The following is a 20,080-nucleotide window of genomic DNA, read 5'->3' as shown; positions in this document are numbered from 1 at the left end:
TTTCCAAGAAGCTCCTTCACTATTAGCCTCTTGTCTAGACTTGGCCAAAAGAGGAACTTGTGTGACATCTGGAATGCAGACCTGAAGCAGTGGCCTTTAGTCTCAGAAAGCCTTTTTCTTGTCATCAGATGCAGGTCTGACACAGAAGTGTCCATGGGTACCAGCTTCTCCTCACTTACTCCACTCCAAGGGCAGCTCTTCTTCCTGACTATGCTGTCCCTGCTCCAAGATAGGGTTTGGCTGTGGTCCCCAGAGGAGGCAGCTGCACAGAGGCATCTGCTTCCCACAGAACTCCCCATGAAGGCCCTCTGGGTTCTACTGTGGCAGCTAGATATGTGTGGCCACTCACTGACTGATGGTTACTCCTCCTCAGATCTCCAGCTCCCCTTCTGCACCTTCACCGCCATGGCTCCTTCACAACTGTATAACATTAAATTCCCATGCCCCTTTTCCCATAACACTCACAGTGACCGTCCCTCGTTAAACTTTTTAAAAAGTTTAGATATAACTTATATATAATAAACCTGACCCCTTTAAAATGTAGAATTCTGTGGCATTTAGTAGGTTCACAAAGTTGTGCAACCATTGCCAATATCTACTTCCACCCTCAAAAGAAACCCTGTACCCATCAATAGTCACTTCCCATCCTCCTCTTCCCCCAGCCCCTGGCAACCACTAATCTGTTTTCTGTCTCCTTGCCTATTCTGGACACTGAATATAAATAGAATCATAAAATATGCAGTCTTTTGTGTCTGACTTCTTTCACTTAGCATAATATTTTTAAGGTTCGTCCATGTTTTAGCATGCATCTGTGCTGCAATCCTTTTAAAGGCTGAATAATGTCCCGCTGTATGGGTAGACCACATTTCATTTATCCATTCATTGTTGATGGACACTTGGGTTGCTTCCAGGCACCTTTATGGTTACTATGAATAATGCTGCCATGAACATTCATGTGCAAGTTTTTATGTGAACTCTGAAACAAAAATTGGTACCGACAAGTGAGGTGCTGCTGCTTAAAAACTAAAACATGTAACATTGTCTTTTGGACTACGTAGCAGGCAAAACTGAGAAAAGCTGTGAGGGCCTGTGTTGGGGACTGGAGAGATGGTGAAGCATGAGTGAGCCTGCAAAGGCAGAAGGAATCATCAGAGGCTGGATAAAGTGCAAACCACACTGTCACCATGAAGCACTGACACAAGTGGCACCCACAGAGTGGGATGGAGGATAGGAAGTGCACCTCATAAATATGCAACATGTGGCCAAGGGGATTTCTAGGTAGGATGCTGAAGGGCCAATGAACTTATTTTAACTGGGTATGATTGATCAGGTATAGGAAGAGAAAAATGAGCTAAGGAGAGAACTGTTTAGTTTGCAGGTAGAATTTAGAGAAAATATAGAAGAACCAGGACTTGCTAAGGTAGAAAATAAAATTACTTCATGTCTCCAGTTTCTTGTGGTGGCACAAGATTCTCAGATGGTGGCAGGTTAGGGAACAATTCAAAGGTGTGGCTGTAACACCTTTTGTAAACATCTCACAAAGATTTAAGGTCATACCTAGCAGACCTTCTCTCCCAGGTAGCGAAGTGGGCTTCTAAGACACTTCAAGGCTCTGTTCCATAGCAGCCTACACACCTAGTGGGAAGGGGTCTGTCCTGAAAAGAATTATGGATGCAGCTGTTGAGACATGTGGGAAAGCCCAACAAGATTTAGAGAAAACCCTCCAAGTTTTTAGGGGAGTTGTGCTGACTGTTGCTAGTTTGGATTAAAGGGACAGATATAGTCCAAAATGAAAAAAGCCCTCTATGCCCCAAATGTCTCAGGGCAGAACACAGGCTGAGAAAGTTAATCAGCTGCAAACACAGGCTATTTCTTTCCTTTTTTTTTTATTTTTTACTTTAGGTTAAAAACAAACATGGGATACATGTGCAGAATGTGCAGGTTTGTTACATAGGTATACACGTCCCATGGTGGTTTGCTGGACCTATCAACCTGTCATCTAGGTTTTAAGCCCTGTATGCATTAGGTATTGGTCCTAATGCTCTCCCTTCCCTTGCCTTCCACTCCCCGACAGGCCCCGGTGTATGATGCTCTCCTCCCTGTGTCCATGTGTTCTCATTGTTCAACTCTCACTTATGAATGAGAACATGCGGTGTTTGGTTTTCTGTTCCTGAAACATAGGCTATTTCTTATACAAAAGGAAGATGCTCTCAGAAGGCCGAGCCAAGAGCCACAGAGGACAAAGAATTAGGGGGCCACTCCGAGGGAGCAGAGCTGGGCCCTAATCAAGGAATATTCGTTTTTCTCAGACTAGGGAGCACTGGCCACACCTGCTTTGCTAGGTTTCAGAATCATTAAGGATAGTGACTGTGATGTGCCTCCATCCCTCCCCTTGGGGATGAGTGTCTTACAGTTATCCTGTCTTTATATCTCCATGGTATGTTGCATGTATGATGGGACAGGTGCCATGTCTTTTCATTCAGAAATTTTTGGATCCAAGTCCTTGCTATTGTGAATAGTGCCACAATAAACATATGTGTGCATGTGTCTTTTGCAGCATGTTTTATAATCCTTTGGAACAAATGTCCAACAATGATAGAATGGATTAAGAAAATGTGGCACATACACACCATGGAATACTATGCAGCCATAAAAAATGATGAATTCATGTCCTTTGTAGGGACATGGATGAAGCTGGAAACCATCATTCTCAGCAAACTATTGCCAGGACAAAAAACCAAACACTGCATGTTCTCACTCATAGGTGGGAATTGAACAATGAGAACACATGGACACAGGAAGGCGAACATCACACACCGGGGCCTGTTGTGGGGTGGGGGGAGGGGGGAGGGATAGCATTAGGACATATACCTAATGTTAAATGAAGAGTTAACAGGTGCAGCACACCAACATGGCACATGTATACATATGTAACAAACCTGCACGTTGTACACATGTACCCTAAAACTTAAAGTATAAAAAAAAAAAATAAAGAAATCTTTGGATCAAGAAGAAATTGTTCCTGAGAAAGCTCCATTTCTTCTTTTTTTTTTTTTGTTTGTTTGAGATGGAGTCTCGTTCTGTCGCCCAGGCTGGAATGCAGTGGCACGATCTTGGCTCACTGCAACCTCTGCCCTCCCAAGTTCAAGCAATTCTCATGCCTCAGCCTCCCGAGTAGCTGGGACTACAGGTATGCACCACCATGCCTGGCTAATTTTTTATATTTTTGGTAGAGACGGGGTTTCACCATGTTTAGTAGAGACGAGGTTTCACCATGTTGGCTAGGCTTGAACTCCTGGCCTCAAGTGATCCACCTGCCTCAGCCTCCCAAAGTGCTGGGATTACAGGCATGAGCCACCATACCCAGCTAGAAAGCCCCATTTCTATCCAGACCTGATGTAGATCCTGGCCTTTGAGCCTGATGCTGTGGTGGAATGAGACTCAGAGTCTTGGGAGGGATATGAATAACTGGGGTCTCAGTGCAGGCAGTGGTAGATTATTACAATAATGACTCCAGTGGATCACACCTCCCAGGATTCACGTACGACTCATTCAGGTATGATTCTCTCTCATGTTTGTTTTGTTCAACAAAATAATAACAAACTCAATGCGCACAAGAACCTAATACTCACCTGTGTACTGGGGTTTGCTCTCATGGAACCCAGTCCCACCTGAGAAGGCTGGGATCCCCTGCTGGGGATGCTCTGAGGGAAGACTGAGTTGCCCTGGACAACAGTTCAGCTAAGTGACAGGCATGAGGTAGGAATTTGGAACATCCAGTCTCAGTCATGCCTCAGAGGATGTCAGCTGCATGAGTAAGGCCAGGCAAGCCCAGTAAAAGAAGCATCCAGGTGAACCCAGCTCACTGGGTAGAATGTAAGCATATACCTGGTGATTTCAAGCCACTACGGTTTGGGGCAGTTCATTACACAGCAAGAGAAAACAGATACAACTATATGCCGGATACCAGCAATATATTTTCAACTACATATCATATAAAACTACATAGCAGACTCATCACTTGGCCTCAAAACATTCTTGATTACAACCATTTTCTTCAGAACCAAGTATAAGAAATTGCTGATGAGATGCTCTAATAGCTCTGCTTGGTTGATTAAATCTAACAATTCTCTTTGCTTCTTTAAATTTTCTATTGGTCTCCTCCTGCACAGTCGTCAAACTTGGTATAAAGATTTGGTGACGAATTGGGTCAAAAAATTCATTAGTGATTTTCTAAATTCAAAATTTAATGGCCATGATAGACACCATGCTTCACGCCATGGACTTGCCCGTCAGAGGTGCTGGAGGTGCTACTGGCCACCAGCCTCAGCAGGCAGCCCTCTCTGGAAACTGGGTGGAAGACAGAGGCACCTTGTCCCCCTTCCTAGAGGTGACCCTTTTTTGGGAGGCAGGCCACATCCAATGGCTGGCTGGGGTGGGGGTACAAAGGCCCACCCTCTCTCTTTTCCTGCCTCCTTGTGAAGAAGGTGCTTGCTTCTCCTTCACCTTCTGCTATGATTATAAGTTTCCTGAGGTTTCCCTAGCCATACAAAAATGTGAGTCAATTAAACCTCTTTCCTTGATAAATTACCCAGTCTCGGTTATTTCTTTATAGCAGTGTGAGAACGGACTAATACACCTTCTGTCTACTTGCTTCCATCATTACAAAAAATGTTTAAATATATTTAAAAAGAAACACAACATCTTTTCCCCCAATCAGCACCCTCCTCTAGACATGCAACTAACTGGTACCACTCTCCTACCAGTAGATTGAAGCACTGGAGTCATTCTTCAACCAGGGGTTTGGATCTCTTTCTTCATCTTTACATATATGAGGGATATGATACCTTTCCACTAGCAACAGCAATTCAGCACAGCAGTGCTTCTCAATGGTGCACAGATCAGAAGCTCTAAGAGGGACTAGAAACTTGGTTTAACAAAATAATATGACTTTTTTTCTCATTTGTTAGTAAAGAAGTGTTTAATAAGCACCTGTCATCAACAGGGCACTGTGCACAACACAAAGCTGAAGCTGATGGTCTAATGAAGAAGAATCACATATAAACCATTAAAATACAATGCTGTAAGTACAAACAAAATATTCTAGGAGCACAAAGGAAGGTGAGACTATCTGCCAAGGAGAGTCAGGAAGGCTTCATATTTCAGTTGGGTCAGGACAGTAAATTTAAACAAGGGGTTGGATAATGCAATATTCTTACAATAAGGGCAGTTCTTGGAAATCTGTTAAAGACCATTCCCACGCCATTATTCTGAGCAAAACGTAAGCAAAACCCAAGACGCTGGAAATTCGAGTTAGTGGCTAAGGCAGAGTTAAGGAGTTGTGGTAGCCTTATAATAGTTTACCACCCTGGTAGATGGTGAGGTCTGGGTTCCATGCCTTCATCTGGGCCCTTCCTTGGCCCTGCAACCTCAGCATGAACAGTTATTCCTAAGGAAAGCTCTTATAGGCTTCTTCTACATGCAGGACAGAATTAAATCTCGGATCATTTCCTCTAAGAATCATAGAATGACAGAATTGAAAAGGATACTGAAAAATCACACAGATCAGTTGTTTCTAACTTCCAGCCCTTAAAATCGTATGGGTTCTCAAAGTGGCAAATGAAAATCTACAATTTTTTTTTTTTTTTTTTTGGAGACAAGGTATCTGTCACCAAACAGGAGTACAATGGCACGATAATGGCTCACAACAGCCTTGACCTCCCCAGCTCAGGTGATCCTCCCACCTCAGCCTTCCGAGTAGCTGGGACTATAGGCATGCACCATCATGCCCAGCTAATTTTTTGAACTTTTTGTAGAGACAGGCACTGTGTTGCCCAGGCTGGTCTCAAACTCCTGGGCTCAAGTGATTCACACACCTCAGCCTCCCAAAGTGCTGGGATTATAGGCTTGAGGCACCACACCTACCTATAATCAATTTTCAATATTCAGAAAAAGCCTACCAGAAATTCTGTATTTTCTGGTGAAAAGAAATGACTCTTATACACACTTCCCTCCCAGCAGTTCCTTGCCTCTGTACTTCTGTTTCGTCCCCTTCTCCCTACAAATGCCCCTTTCTATATTCTGACCTGAAAGATCCAACTCTCTATGAAATCTTTCCTGAAAGTCCTAAATTAAAATGTTATTTGCCTCCTCTGAATTTCTGAAGCACTTATTATCTGCATTCGTTTATTGTTCTCTACTTTAAACCTTCCTTCCTAGTCTACCTCCTTTGTTCCAAAGACAAGAACGCTCCCCTTTAGGGAGCTTTTAGACTTTTGGTATTCCCATGACTGGCATCCAGTGAGATGCTCAATAAATGCTTGTTAGAGTTGATACTCTGTAACCTTACATAAATCTTTTAACCTAAGATGTCACTTTCTTTACCAATAACACAAAGGAGTTGAAATACATCTCTAGCTCTTCCAGCTGTATGTTGCATAATCTATGATGCGATGCTTATCACTACAATTTTTCTTCCTCCCTTCTCCTTCAGAGATGGTGTTCTCACTCATGTCTGCCAACTCAGCCCCTGGCCTGGCACTTGTCAGGATCAGATCCTCTATACTCCTCAGTCCACTTACCATTCTCCACCAATATTCTTTGGACCTCTCCCTAGGCATGATCCTTGGGCAGAAATTTAGCAATATAAAAATAGCATATGATTAACTCTTAGTAGTAAAAAAACTTACCATATAATACAGGGCTGAGAGATTGGTTGCAGCTGCACTTTTCACTCTACTGTCCTTTTTTTCCAACACTTTTAAGATCTCTACAGCCTAGAAATGGAATATCTGAAGGTTACTACCACTGTAATATGACAGTACTCAAGCTTATGGTCGGGGAAAAGATCAGTGTTCCTGAAGGGTAAGACCAGGGAAGGGCACAAAAGGGGTGGATTAAGATGTTCAAGAAAACAGATTACAAGAAGATAATTTCATTTGAGAATTAGAATTTATAAAAAAGAATAAAATGGAAATTCTGGAATTAAAAATATAATTAAGAAAACATAGATGTTCTAACAGCAGATTAGATACAGCTGAAGAGAGACCTGGTGACTGGAAGAAAGGTCAGTAGTAAATAATGAGCCTTGGAAGGCTGGGCATGGTGGCTCATGCCTATAATCTCAGCACTTTGGGAGGCCACGGCAGGAGAATTGCTTGAGGTCAGGAGTTTGAGACTAGACTGGGCATAGGCGTGAGACTCTCTCTAAAAAAATAAAAATATGATGATAATAATAATGATCCTTGGGAGTCATGTGATGCAGCTGAGTGTTTATTCTGCATAATGGGGTGGGCAGTGAGGCCTTGAAAGGTTTTGCCTAAGAGATGTGATCAAATTTGATCTTTACAAAATAATTCTTAGGTTTCTGCTTCTGGCCATGACTGACTAGCCTATAGAAGACCATTCTTTGACAGAGAACAACTAGAAAGATTATAGAAAATACTAAAAATATTTTTTGAAGGCACTGTAGAGCTAGCAAAGCAAACAGGACTTTAAGGCCAAGGTCCCAGAAAATGTTCAGACTAAATGAAACATGGCAAAATAGATGGCTAAAAAATGTTCCTAGAAAAGAACACAAGAGACTTACGGGAGCATAATGAAAAGGTCTAATAGAAATGTAATTGGAGTTTCAGAAGGCCAAGAAGGAAAAATGGCACAGAATTTTTCAAAACCAGTAACAGAAAATAATTCTGGGAGTGTTACAAAAAGTGATCTAAAGTAGATCCAAATATAATTACATTTTTAAATCATGAGAAATGAAAGTATGTTTTTAACTACCTGGCAGGTCTGAGATAATCCTAACCAAGTAAGATGTGTGGAACGGTCAGACACTTTACATGAAAGGTGAATGAGTATTCAACCTAGAAATTGCTACAGAATATTAGAAAGAAAAAAACAAGGGTAGAGAAAGGCACTGGGTTTTCCTTCCTTCCTTCTTTTAAAATATATTTACTGATTAGAAGATGCTTGACTCTTGGTGCCTCCTGCTCCTAGAAAGCAGTTATGTAGAAGCAAAAGTAACTGTGTTAGCTTTTATAATGGTTGTCAGCTACAGTTGTTGCAAATCTCTGACAGATTCTGAGATGTGGGCTGTGCAGTGTTTGACCTCAAATGAAATACCAGTAGGCAAACTGACTCAATTTTTTTGAAGGACAGAAGATTTTAAAATACTCAATTTCAGATACTTTGGTTAGAATATGAGTAAACTGTTATTCTTTTATTTATTATTATTTGCACAATAAAGTTGCCAAGCAAATTATTCTTTTAAAGGGTTTTTGATGACTTCAAAGAAAACTGATGGAAGTTTCTAGGTCAGTAGTTTACAAAGTAAACACTGGAAAAGAAAAACCCAAACATCATATCCTCACTTTCAAGATTCTATCATTTACTTTCTTGGAAAGATCTTATAACATTGCCACAAGTTCCTTAAATTTACCTCAAAAATGATTGCTGCTAATATTGCTTATCCTATAGAAACTACCTCATTGATGCTTTATACAACCTCCATAGCTATTAATATAAAAGCCACCACTGTTTTGAATCTCTAGGTTTTATAAGCTGCATTTCACTTTAAATAAGAATTGAGATAGTCTAATCTTCACTTTTAGACTGTGTCATAATAAATGGTGTATTACTTTAAAATATAAGGCACTTGAATAGGTGTAACTCATACAACCATTAAACTCTCCAAAGTGTACAGGAAAAGAAAGCTATTCTCTAATGTTTACAACATCCATAAAACAATACAAAAAGAATGCTAACAAGCAATAACAACAATTTTTTTTTAAAAAAAGGAGTGTTATAGTCCCTTGTATCATTCCTTTTAGAAGCGGCCATTTACATTATAGTCAAGGAAATGTGTTAAATTTTTAAATTTTGATATATACATTGTAACTCATTAATAACAATACTTTAAGGCTATATTTAACATCAAATCTATTTTCTCCCAAAATGGTTATTATGAATCCAAAAAGCAGTGCAATCCAAAACCATTACTTAAAAAACTTGGCAAAGGTATTTACAACTTAAAACATCCTAAATGGGTATCACTTGACAAAGTAATAACACTTCATATTATACGTTTCTAAACTATGATCTATTCTAAAAAGGCTACATAATTATTCTAATAAAAGGAACACTCGGGTATTTTTTCGCTCAAGTTTTTGTTTTGAAATAGGCTGTTTTCATAACTGTTCTCTACATGTCCATAAATCTACATAAAATATGTTTTTAAAAGTAAAATATTGTAAGTTTATTTATAAATGGAACTGATAAAAGTTCAGTCAAAATTAAATTTCATTCTAAATGGCAAAACAAAAAATAAAAATAAACAATGTTAGCTTGTTTGTTTCCCTGAAAACAATGAGGAAAAGGGATCTATGTCTGTCCTGGTCTCCTTTCCCAGCTGATGCCATCTAGCTCCTGGCTTCAGCATTCCGCTGAGCCTCCAGGCCAATGGCTTCATTTCATCCACTTTGGGCTTTTTGGCAGAGTCTATTTTTTCTATTACAAAAGTGGCTACAAACACCATCATTATCAAAAAGACCCATACTCTGTGATTTCAGCATCTTTTTCTTGGAAAAAAAAAAAGTATTTAGAGCTAACTCCAGAACTATATCCTCACAGAAGGCATAAATTTTTCTTTTTCACTTTGAATTGTAAATAAAGTAGTTGCCATCAAATGATTATTATGAGATACGTCAACCCAATCCTTTTTCACTTAATAATATTTCTTTCAAACTAAGATTGTATTATACCTACCTCATAATACTTACAATATACAAACAAAAGAAAGACAGAGTGAAAGCAGCAATGATGAAAAGAAAGCAGAAATGGCATTTTAAAAAAATCAGTAAACCAATTGATATTAAAAACTTGAAAATGCAAATGGAACAGAAGATATTTTGAACAAGAAGAGCTAGGAAAGCACAGATAGTAAGATCTGAGTTCAACAGGTTTTAACATTAAAAAATTAGAGTGTTTATTGCTTAATGAACATAGTTTTAAAACATGAGCCATGGCAATGCATTCTTAACCTTTTTTTTTTTTTTTTTTTTTTTGAGATGAAGTCTCGCTCTGTCACTCAGGCCAGAGTGCAGTGGTGGGATCTCAGCTCATTGCAACTTCTGCCTCCTGGGTTCAAGCAATTCTCCTGTCTCAGCCTCCCGAGTAGCTGGGACTACAGGCGCATGCCACCACGCCCGGCTAATTTTTGTATTTTCAGTAGAGACAGGGTTTCACCATATTGGTTAGGCTGGTCTCAAAACTCTTGACCTCAGGTGATCCACCTGCCTCGGCCTCCCAAAGTGCTGAGATTACAGGTGTGAGCCACCACGCCCGGCCTCTTAACCCTTTCTAAAAAGATCATTTAAAAATAAAATGTCAAAGGAAAACTAGCAGACATGGTTTTCTCCATTTTGTCATCCATAACAGTACATGTCACACACAAAATTATTCTTGTCCATATAGCACTTTAGCAAGATAATAAAAACCAATTTGATTCACGTCACTTCCATGTAAAAAGCATTACAACAATGTTGGAGAGTCATTGGTGGCATTTTTCATGACCAAGGATGTGATGATTAAATGACAGGATAGATACTTTGAAAAGTCTTTTTCAAATGTTTTGTAAATGCTCAAAAAATTAAGCATAGTAAATTAACATATGCAATGGAACCACCCCATGGTACTACATTAATTATATGTATTTATTTCGTGAACACTGGGGTTGCTTTTTTCTACTCTCATATTCTTTAGTAGATAATGTTCTCCCCACTTCCTTTGTTAGTCCTTTCTGTTGTCTCCCAGAGCAAAAAGTTCTCTAAATAGGAAGATAAACTGAAAGCATAGGCTTGGGAGAGGATGTGGGAAAGATGCTATAGCTTTCTCTGGTCCTTGCTCTCTGGATCTAACTGGGAAGAGCTGAGTTTTCTAGTTGCTGACATATAATGACACTAACCACTGGTGTTACAGACTAGGACATCACGTCATTCTGTTTACTCTCTTTGGTTATCCCTCTTTCTTACACCTGTCTAAGCCTCCTGATTGTGTGTCAGCTCTGTCCTAATTGAGAGACTGCTGAAGGGGGAGCACCCACTCTACCCCCCACCCAAGCTAGCAAGAGAGCAGCAGTGCCAGTGAGAGATCTGCGGGGTTCTAAAACCCCATACAGCCATGAGACCCTTCCAATCCCAATGCAGTGTCAATGAGGAAACCAAACACATAAAACAGACTACAAGGAAGCTGCTCTGGTGAGGATGGCAGACTCCTGGCTTCCCATGCTCCCTAGCACAATCAGTGTTCCTAAAAACTTTATGCTTTGGGGAACACTTTGAAAACCTCTAGGGGAAAGTTAATCTCCGGAATAGAATATGGTTTATAATTTAGCAACCATGCTATACAAAGAAAGTATTTACATTTTAAGAAACAACAGCTGGGCGCGGTGGCTCACACCTGTAATCCCAGCACTTTGGGAGGCCGAGGCGGGCGGATCACAAGGTCAGGAGATCGAGACCATCCTGGCTAACACGGTGAAACCCCATCTGTATTAAAAATACAAAAAATTATCCAGGCATGGTGGTGGGTGCTTATAGTCCCAGCTACTCGGGAGGCTGAGGCAGAAGAATGGTGTGAACCCGGGAGGCAGAGCTTGCAGTGAGTGTAGATCACGCCACTGCACTCTAGCCTAGGCAACAGAGCGAGACTCCATCTCAAAAAAAAAAAAAAAAAAAAAAAAAAAAAAAAAAAGAAACGACAAACAGGCAAAAATTAATAAAAGTTTAAAACTATTTTAATGAAAATTAACATAAAATAGAAATAAAAATATTATTCAACTTCAGAATAATCACAGATAACATTATTCTAGAAAGGAGTTTACCTGTTTTTAATGCTTTGACCAATTAAGATATGGAATTCCATCTAAAATTTTTTTTAAAACTTACTTGGTTATAGTCTTTTTGTCTCAAGTATGTAACTGCTTTGTTTATTTCCAGATCATTGGCTAGCTCTACATATTGAGAAGCTTTCACCACTTCCACGCACCTATAAGGGAAAGCATAAAAAACCTTACTTGATTTTGTTTTAGTATATTGATGCTGTTGGTTTTCTTAAATGTGGCTTTTCAAAGATTTTTTAAAGGGTCCCTAGTACTCTGTAAAGGTAAGCACTCGATTTGCTCCAACACAGGTTTTCAGTTACTGAAGTGTTCAGTTCTAAATTACTTTTCTTATCCAATTTATCATTAGCCTATTTTAATGTCTAATCATTTTAAGTAAAAATTGGACTGATACCTACATTCTCATTTTTGAATTAACTATTATAACAATTTGTAACAGACGACAGTTTCCACATATTTTTCCATATTAAATGCTCTCAGGGTGAGAAAAATTCTACAGAACTTGTAGAATATATTTAATTTTTTGTGTCCCAACTTAAATAGATCTCTTTATAAAAGCACAAAATATTTGCTGTTTACTCTATAACAGGGGCAGTGCTAATTGCTCTACAAGCATTAATACGTTTAACCCTCACAACAACCCTAAAAGGATTATTTTTATTTTATAGATAGGAAAATGGAAGATCTGAGATCACAAAGGTAGAAAATGAGTGTCAACTAAGAATTTGAACCCAATTCTTGTTGATACCAAACTCACTGCATCAAGACTGGCATTTTTCATACTGAGTTATTGAAATCAATTTAGTGGGTCACGACTCTTACTTCAATAACAGAAGAGATAGGGGGTGGTGGGACTGGGAAGACATTGGTCAAAGAACACAACATTTCAGTTAGACGAAGGAATAAGTTGAAGAGATCTATTGTACATCAAGGGAATTATGGTTAATAATATATTATATACTTAAAATTTGCTAAGAGTAGATTTTAAGTGTTTTCACTACAAAAAATAACAAGTATGTGTGGTAATGCATAGGATTTAGCAATTCCACAATGTGTACATGTATCAAAACATCATTTTGTATACCATAAATATATATCATTTTATATCACTGCACTCCAGCCTGAGCAAGTGTAAGGAAACCTGCAAAACTGAGTGGCCTCCTCCTGGAAGACATTCACACAGTATGATGGACTGAACTAATTATTAATGTGTGTGTTGTGTGTGAGAGAGAGAGAATTTATATAAAGGATCCATGGTTGAAAATCAGGGGGTGGCCTGTGGTGTTATGATATATATATAGGTTTTCATCCATGGTTCCTGCTCATAATTCCCATAGCCTTTATTAGAGTCTTCTGGTATAATGGGGATGTTAGGCCTCAAGTGCAGGCCTCTGACCTTCCCCTGCCTTTCTGTTTGTGGCCCTCACATGAGAGTCTCACCCAAAACCCTGGTGGAAGGAATGCTGAAGTCACTAGCCTTCCTTTTACCCAAGAGGACAGGGTTCGGGGAGCTTCCGGATAGCTGAACACGTGTAGGTTCCTAGAGGGTGGCGCCCAGGGAGGAAATGGCAGCTCCATGCCCCTTCTCTCATAGTTCACCTTATGCATCCCTGCATCACTATCCTTTGCAAAATCCTTTATTATAACAAACTGGTAAATGTAAGAAAAAAAAAGAGGTCTGAACAAAACATTAAGAAACTTGACATGACATACACAGGATGTTATCCCCAACAACAGCAGAATACATGTTCTTTTCAAGTCCATTTGGATTGCGTACCAAGCTGCAACAAATTTCAGAGTTGAAATTATTCAATGAATATCTTCTACCACAATAAAATTAAACTAGAAATCAAAAAAGGAAAAGATAATAAGAAATGCCTAACTTGCTGGAAATTAAGCAATGTAGCAGGATACAAAATCCACACACAAAATTCACTTCCATTTATCTATACACTAAAAACAAACAACTTGGAAAGGATATTAAGAGTACAATTCCATCGACAACAGTGCCAAAAAGAATACAATACTTAGGAATAAGGATAACCAAGGAGGTTAAAGACTTGAACATGGAACACTATAAAACATTGCCGAGAGAAATTTTTTAAAACATAAATAAATGGAGGCTGGGTGTGGTGGCTCACGCCTGTAATCCCAGCACTTTGGGAGGCTGAGGTGGGAGGATCACGAGGTCAGGAGATTGAGACCATCCTGGCTAACACAGTGAAACCCATCTCTACTAAAAATACAAAAAAAATTAGCTGGGCATGGTGGTGGGTGCCCGTAGTCCCAGCTACTTGGGAGGCTGAGGCAGGAGAATGGCGTGAACCCGGGAGGCGGAGCTTGCAGTGAGCCGAGATCACGACACTTCACTCCAGCCTGGGCGACAGAGCAAAACTCCATCTCAAAACAAAACAAAACAAAAACATCAATAAATGGAAACATGTCCCATGTTTATGGACCAGAAGACTTACTACATTTAAGATATCAATACTACTCAAAGCAATCTATGAATTCAATGCAATCTCTACCAAAATGTCCATGGCTTATTTTTCCAGATACAGAAAAATCCATCCTGAAATTCATACGCAATTTCAAGGGACTCCAAATAGCCAAAACAATCTTGAAAAAGAAAAGCAAAGCTGAAGGACTCACATTTTCTGATTTCAAAGTAATTACAAAGCTACAGTAATCAAAACAGTGTGGTACTGGCAGGAAGACAGACATGTAGACCAATAGCATAGAGTAGTGAGCCCGAAAACAAACCACCACATATACAGTCAAATGCTTTTTGACAAGGATGCCAACGCTATTCAGTGAGAAAAGGACAGTCTTTAACAAACAATGCCAGGAAAACTATGCATAAGTAATGAAGTTGCACCCTTACCTAACACTATGTACAAAAATTAACTCAAAATGAATCAAAGACCTCCCTGTAAAATCTAAAACTAAAAAAACTGTTAGAAGAAAACACAAAGCAAAAGCTTCATGACATTAGATTTGACAATTTATTGGATGTGACACCAAAGTCACAGGAAACAAAAGAAAAAATAGACAAAGTGGACCTCATGAAAATTTAAGAAGTTTTTGCCTCAAAGAAATATCAACAGAGTAAAAAGGTAATCCACAGAATGGGAGAAAATATTTGCAAATCATGCATCTGATAATGGATTAATATCCAGAATGTATAGAAAACTCCTAAAACTCCAAAACAAAAACCAAACCACCCAATTCAAAAATGTTAAAGGACCTGAACAAACACTTCTCCAAATAAGGTATACAAATAGCTAATAAGTACATGAAAAGATGCTCGACATCATATGTCATTAGGGAATTGCAAATTAAAACAACAATGGGACGCCACCATACGCTTATTAGAAAGGCCAAAATTGAAACACTGACATTACCAAATGTTGGTGAGGATGTGGCACCCCAGAAATTCTCATCTATTGCTAATGGGAATGCAAAATGGTACAGCAACTTTGAAAGAGTTTGGCAGTTTCTCACAAAACCAAATATATACTTACTGTAATTTCCAATAATCACGCTCCTTGGTATTTATCCAAAGAGGGGAAACTGTATGTTCACACAAAAACCTACACAATGGATGTTTTATTCAAAATTGCCAAACTGTGGAAGCCACCAAGATGTCTTTCAATAGGTGAATGAATAAACATCCATACAACAGAATCTGAAACTTTTTGAGCACAGACATAATATGATGCTCAAAGAAAATGCTCATTGGAGGATTACAGACTCTGGATTTGGGATGCTCAATTGGTAAACAGAAATATTCAAAAATCCAAGAAACCTCAAAATCCAAAACACTTCTGGTCCCAAGCATTGTGGATAAGGGATACTCAAGAGATACCACTAAATGAAAGAAGCCAATCAGCAAAGCCAACATACTAAATGATTCCAACCCTGTGATATTCTGGAAAAGCCAAAACTATGGAGACAGTAAAAAGATCAGTGGTTGCTAAGGGTTTGGGAGAGGGAGGGATGAATAGGTACAACACAGGAGATTTTTAGGGCAGTGAAGCTATTCTATACAATACTACAATGGTGGGTACAGGACATCATGTATTTGTCAAAACCCCCAGAATTAAAACACAAAGAATCCTAACATAAACTATGGACTTCACATGGTAATACTATGTGAATATTGGTTCATTGATTGTAACAAATGTACCATACTGGGATGGCATATTGGTGAGGGAGGCTCTGGGTAGGAAGTGGGGAAAATATATGGAAACTCTGTACATTCTGTTCAATTATGCTAAGAAACTAAAACTGTTCTAAAAAAAAAGTCTTTGGATTTTTTACTTTTTTAAAAAAGTCTTTTTTTTTTTTTTTTTTTTTTTTTTTTTTTATCTCAGCAGGTTTTGGGAAAATTGACAAGTTGGTTTTAAAATATATGTGGAAATGACAAGGACCAAGAATACTCAAGGTAATCCTCAACAACAAAGCTGGAGGACTTATACTGCCTGCTCTAGTTTGTGCAGGCTGCTATAATGAAATACCATAAACTCGGCCGGGCATGGTGGCTCACGCCTGTAATCCCAGTAGTTTGGGAGGCTGAGGTGGGCAGATCACTTGAGGCCAGAAGTTTGAGACCAGGCTGGCCAGTATGGCTAAATCCTGTCTCTACTAAAAATACAAAACTTTGCTAGGTGTGGTGGTGTGTGCCTTTAGTCCCAGATACTTGGGAGGCTGAGGTACGAGAATTTCTTGAAACTAGGGAGGTGGAGGTTGCGGTGAGCAGAGATTGCGCCACTGCACTCCAGCCTGGGTGACAGAGCAAGACTCTGTCAAACAAAACAAAACAAAACAAAAAAAACACCAAACCATAAGCTAGGTAGCCTAAACAAAGACATTTATTTTTCACAGTTACGAAGACTGAGAAGTCCAAGAACAAGGCGCCAGCAGGCTGGCTGTCTGGTGAGTGACCACTTCCTGCTTCATAGAATGCTGTCTTTTTGCTGTGTCCTCACATAATAGTAGGGGCTAGCTAGCTCTCCAGAGTCTCTTTTTATAAGGGCACTAATTCCATTCAAAAAGTGTCCTACCAGCTGGATGTGGTGACTCACGTCTATCATCCCAGCACTTTGGGAGGCCGAGCCAGGCTAACATGGTGAAACCCCATCTCTACTAAACCACAAAAAATTAGCCAGGCGTGGTGGCAGGCGCCTGTAGTCCCAGCTACTCAGGAGGCTGAGGCAGGGAAATTGCCTGAACCCGGGAGGTGGAGGTTGCAGTGAGCCGAGATCGCGCCACTGCACTCCAGCCTGGCGACAGAGTAAGACTCCGTCTCAAAAAACAAAAATAAAAATAAAGTGTCCTACCTTTATGTCCTAATCACCTTGAAAAGGACGACCTCCTAATACTACCACCTTGGGGGTTAGGTTTCAACATATGAATTTTGGGGGAACACAAATATTCAGATCATAGCACTACCAGATATCAAGTGTTACTATAAACTATAGAAATGTAGGCAATGTGGTTTGACGACAAGAGTAGATAAATGGACCAAAGGGATTGAATAAAGATTCTACAAACAGACCAATATATAGTCACTTGGTATATGTCAAAGGTGACATTACAGTGCAGTGGAAAAAGTAAACTATTTTCCATAAATCATGCTGGGTTAACTGGATAGCCCTACTACAGAAAAGAAAAGAGAGAGAAAAGAAAAAAAAAATCTTGACCTTACTTCACACTACACACAAAAATCAATTCCATATAGATCCTGTATCTAAATGTGAAAGGTAAAACCTCTAGAAGAAAACATAGGAAAATATTTTCATGAAGTTGGGGTATGCAAAAGTTGCCTTAAAAGGACACAAAAAGAACTAACCAAAGAAATAGAAACAAGGGCAAAAGTCTTGAACGGGCACTTCTCAAAAAATAATATTCATATGGTAAATAAACATATAAAATCTGCTGAGAGTGAAATGCAAATTAAAACTACAATGAGATGCCACAGTATGGCTGGCTAAAATGAAAAAATACAAAATACACCAAGTATTTGTAAGCTATTCGAATTTTCATGCACTGTTGGTGGGGGTGTAAACAAGTACAGGAACTTTGGAAAACTGTTTAGCGGTATCTATTAAAGCTGAACATATACACACCATAGGATCAAGCCATTTCACTCATAGGTATGTATCTAACAGAAATATCGGCACCACCCACCAAGAGATGTGCACAACTGTACCATAATATTGATAGGAGCATTTACAACAGGTTCAAACTGCAAATCACAACACCCAGTCACATTGAAATGGATACATTTTTACATATTAATACCATGAACTACTAGATAGCAATGAAAATGAACAAACCACAGCTACATGCGAGGACATGGACAACACTAACAAACACAGAGTAAAAGAAGTCATATGCAAAAGAATATGTACGGTATGATTCCATTTATATGATGCTTTTAAAACCTGGAAAAACTAAATTATGGATGCCTGCTTAGATGGTTAAAGAATGAAGAAAAGCAAGGAAGTTATCATCATCAAAGTCACTCTTCAGGGACATCAGTCACTCTTCAGAGCTGGGTAGCCAGTGATTAGGATTGGCATTTTGTAATGTGCTAACAATGTTCTATTCTTTAAATTTTATTTATTAGGGTATGCAATGGCTAAATGTTTGTTTGTTTTGTGATGTATCGTTGAGCTGAGTTACCATTTCGGATAATTTTTTGTATGTTTATATTTAACAAACATAAACAATTCCAGAAAAAAGGTTAAAAATAATTTAATCTCCCAGCACTTTGGGAGGCCGAGGCAGGTGGATCACGAGGTCAGGAGATCGAGACCATCCTGGCTAACACGGTGAAACCCCATCTCAACTAAAAATACAAAAAATTGGCCGGGCGTGGCAATGTGCGCCTGTAGTCCCAGCTACTTAGGAGGCTGAGGCAGGAGAATAGCGTGGACTCAGGAGGTGGAGCTTGTAGTGAGCCGAGATTGCACCACTGCACTCCAGCCTGGGTGACAAGAGTGAGACTCCATCTCAAAAAAAAAAAAGGGAAAAAAAAATAATTTAATCATATACAAAGAAGTTAACAGAAATATAGTAAGAATGCCAGAAGAATTCATAGTAAAAATTGCAAATAATTGCAGAACTAAGTTTTCTCTTCTGTTTTTCAGTAGAACAGTTGAATTATGCGTAATTTCCATTACACATGACAACTACCTGGAGAGCATTAAAAAAATATAGATGTTCTATCCCATTTAAGACCAACTGAATCTCTACTTTTAATGAGCTCCTCAGTCAGTGGCATTCAAGAACTATTTGCATAGTATAGAGCTGTATGTGGGATTTATATCACAGAACCCCCTAGGCGGCTTTATAAATACTGATCCCTCTGTCCCAACACCCAGAAATTCTGATTCAACTAGTCTACCACGCAGCCTGTGTGTTGGGACTATTTAAAATCCCCTGATTTTAATATGCAGTCATACCACTGGTAAAGAGTTACAGTATAGTAGGTATCAGAATCACTTGGGGAGGCTTGACACAAATGTAAATACTCACTCCAGACCTCAGAACCCTGACTCAGATCTACAGAGAAAGATGTGGGGAGCCAGATTATCCGCACTTTTAACAAGTAACCAGGGCAATTCCAATGAACAACGATCATGTGCTACATAAAAAAGTTTTGATCCGGCCAGGCGCAGTGGCTCACGACCATAATCCCAGCGCTTTGGGAGGCCAAGGCGAGCGGATCACGAGGTCAGGAGATTGAGACCATCCTGGCTAACATGGTGAAACCCCGTCTCTACTAAAAATACAAAAAAATTAGCTGGGCTTCACGGTGGCTTTCGCCTGTAATCCCAACACTTTGGGAGGCCAGGACAGATCACTTGAGGTCAGGAGTTCGAGACCAGCCCAGCCAACACGGCGAAACCCTGTCTCTACTAAAAATACAAAAATTATGGTGACGCCTGCCTGTAGTCTCAGCTACTCGGGAGGCTGAGGCAGGAGGATCACTTGAACCCAGGAAGTGGAGATTGCAGTGAGCCGAGATCACACTACTGCGCTCCAGCCTGGTTGACAGAGTGAGACTCAATCTCAAGAAAAAATAAAATAAAAATAAAGTTGTTCTCTGAAGAGCATTCCAGTCTGCATTCTCTGAAGTCTCATTCCAGTAATGACCCACTCAGCAGGAATATG

At 39.5% G+C, this 20,080-nt stretch overlaps 1 protein-coding gene across 53 annotated transcripts in view; it reads right to left on the bottom strand.

Moving 5' to 3' along the window:
• IFT88 (intraflagellar transport 88) overlaps positions 1 to 20,080 on the bottom strand; it is a 124,288-nt gene that overhangs the window by 53,653 nt on the left and 50,555 nt on the right. For 51 of the 53 annotated variants that reach the window (NR_134653.2, NR_148462.2, NR_148464.2 and 48 more), the window contains 2 exons: positions 11,943 to 12,042; positions 6,690 to 6,776 (listed from right to left, as the gene is read on the bottom strand). Coding sequence is in view for 47 of the 53 variants with exons in the window: in XM_047430655.1 (XP_047286611.1) it covers positions 6,690 to 6,776; positions 11,943 to 12,042 (187 nt within the window). In the remaining 6 variants the exon portion in view is untranslated. Of the gene's footprint in view, positions 1 to 1,557; positions 1,656 to 6,689; positions 6,777 to 11,942; positions 12,043 to 20,080 lie in introns of all 53 variants that reach the window. The other 2 variants (NR_148463.2, XM_017020775.2) reach the window with 1 other exon arrangement.

This window comes from Homo sapiens, chromosome 13 (assembly GCF_000001405.40).
Source record: "Homo sapiens chromosome 13, GRCh38.p14 Primary Assembly".
NCBI classification, from domain to species: Eukaryota; Metazoa; Chordata; class Mammalia; order Primates; family Hominidae; genus Homo; species Homo sapiens.
The sequence above is the reverse complement of the archived record's forward strand: the minus strand, read 5'-3'. Positions and strand labels throughout refer to the sequence as shown.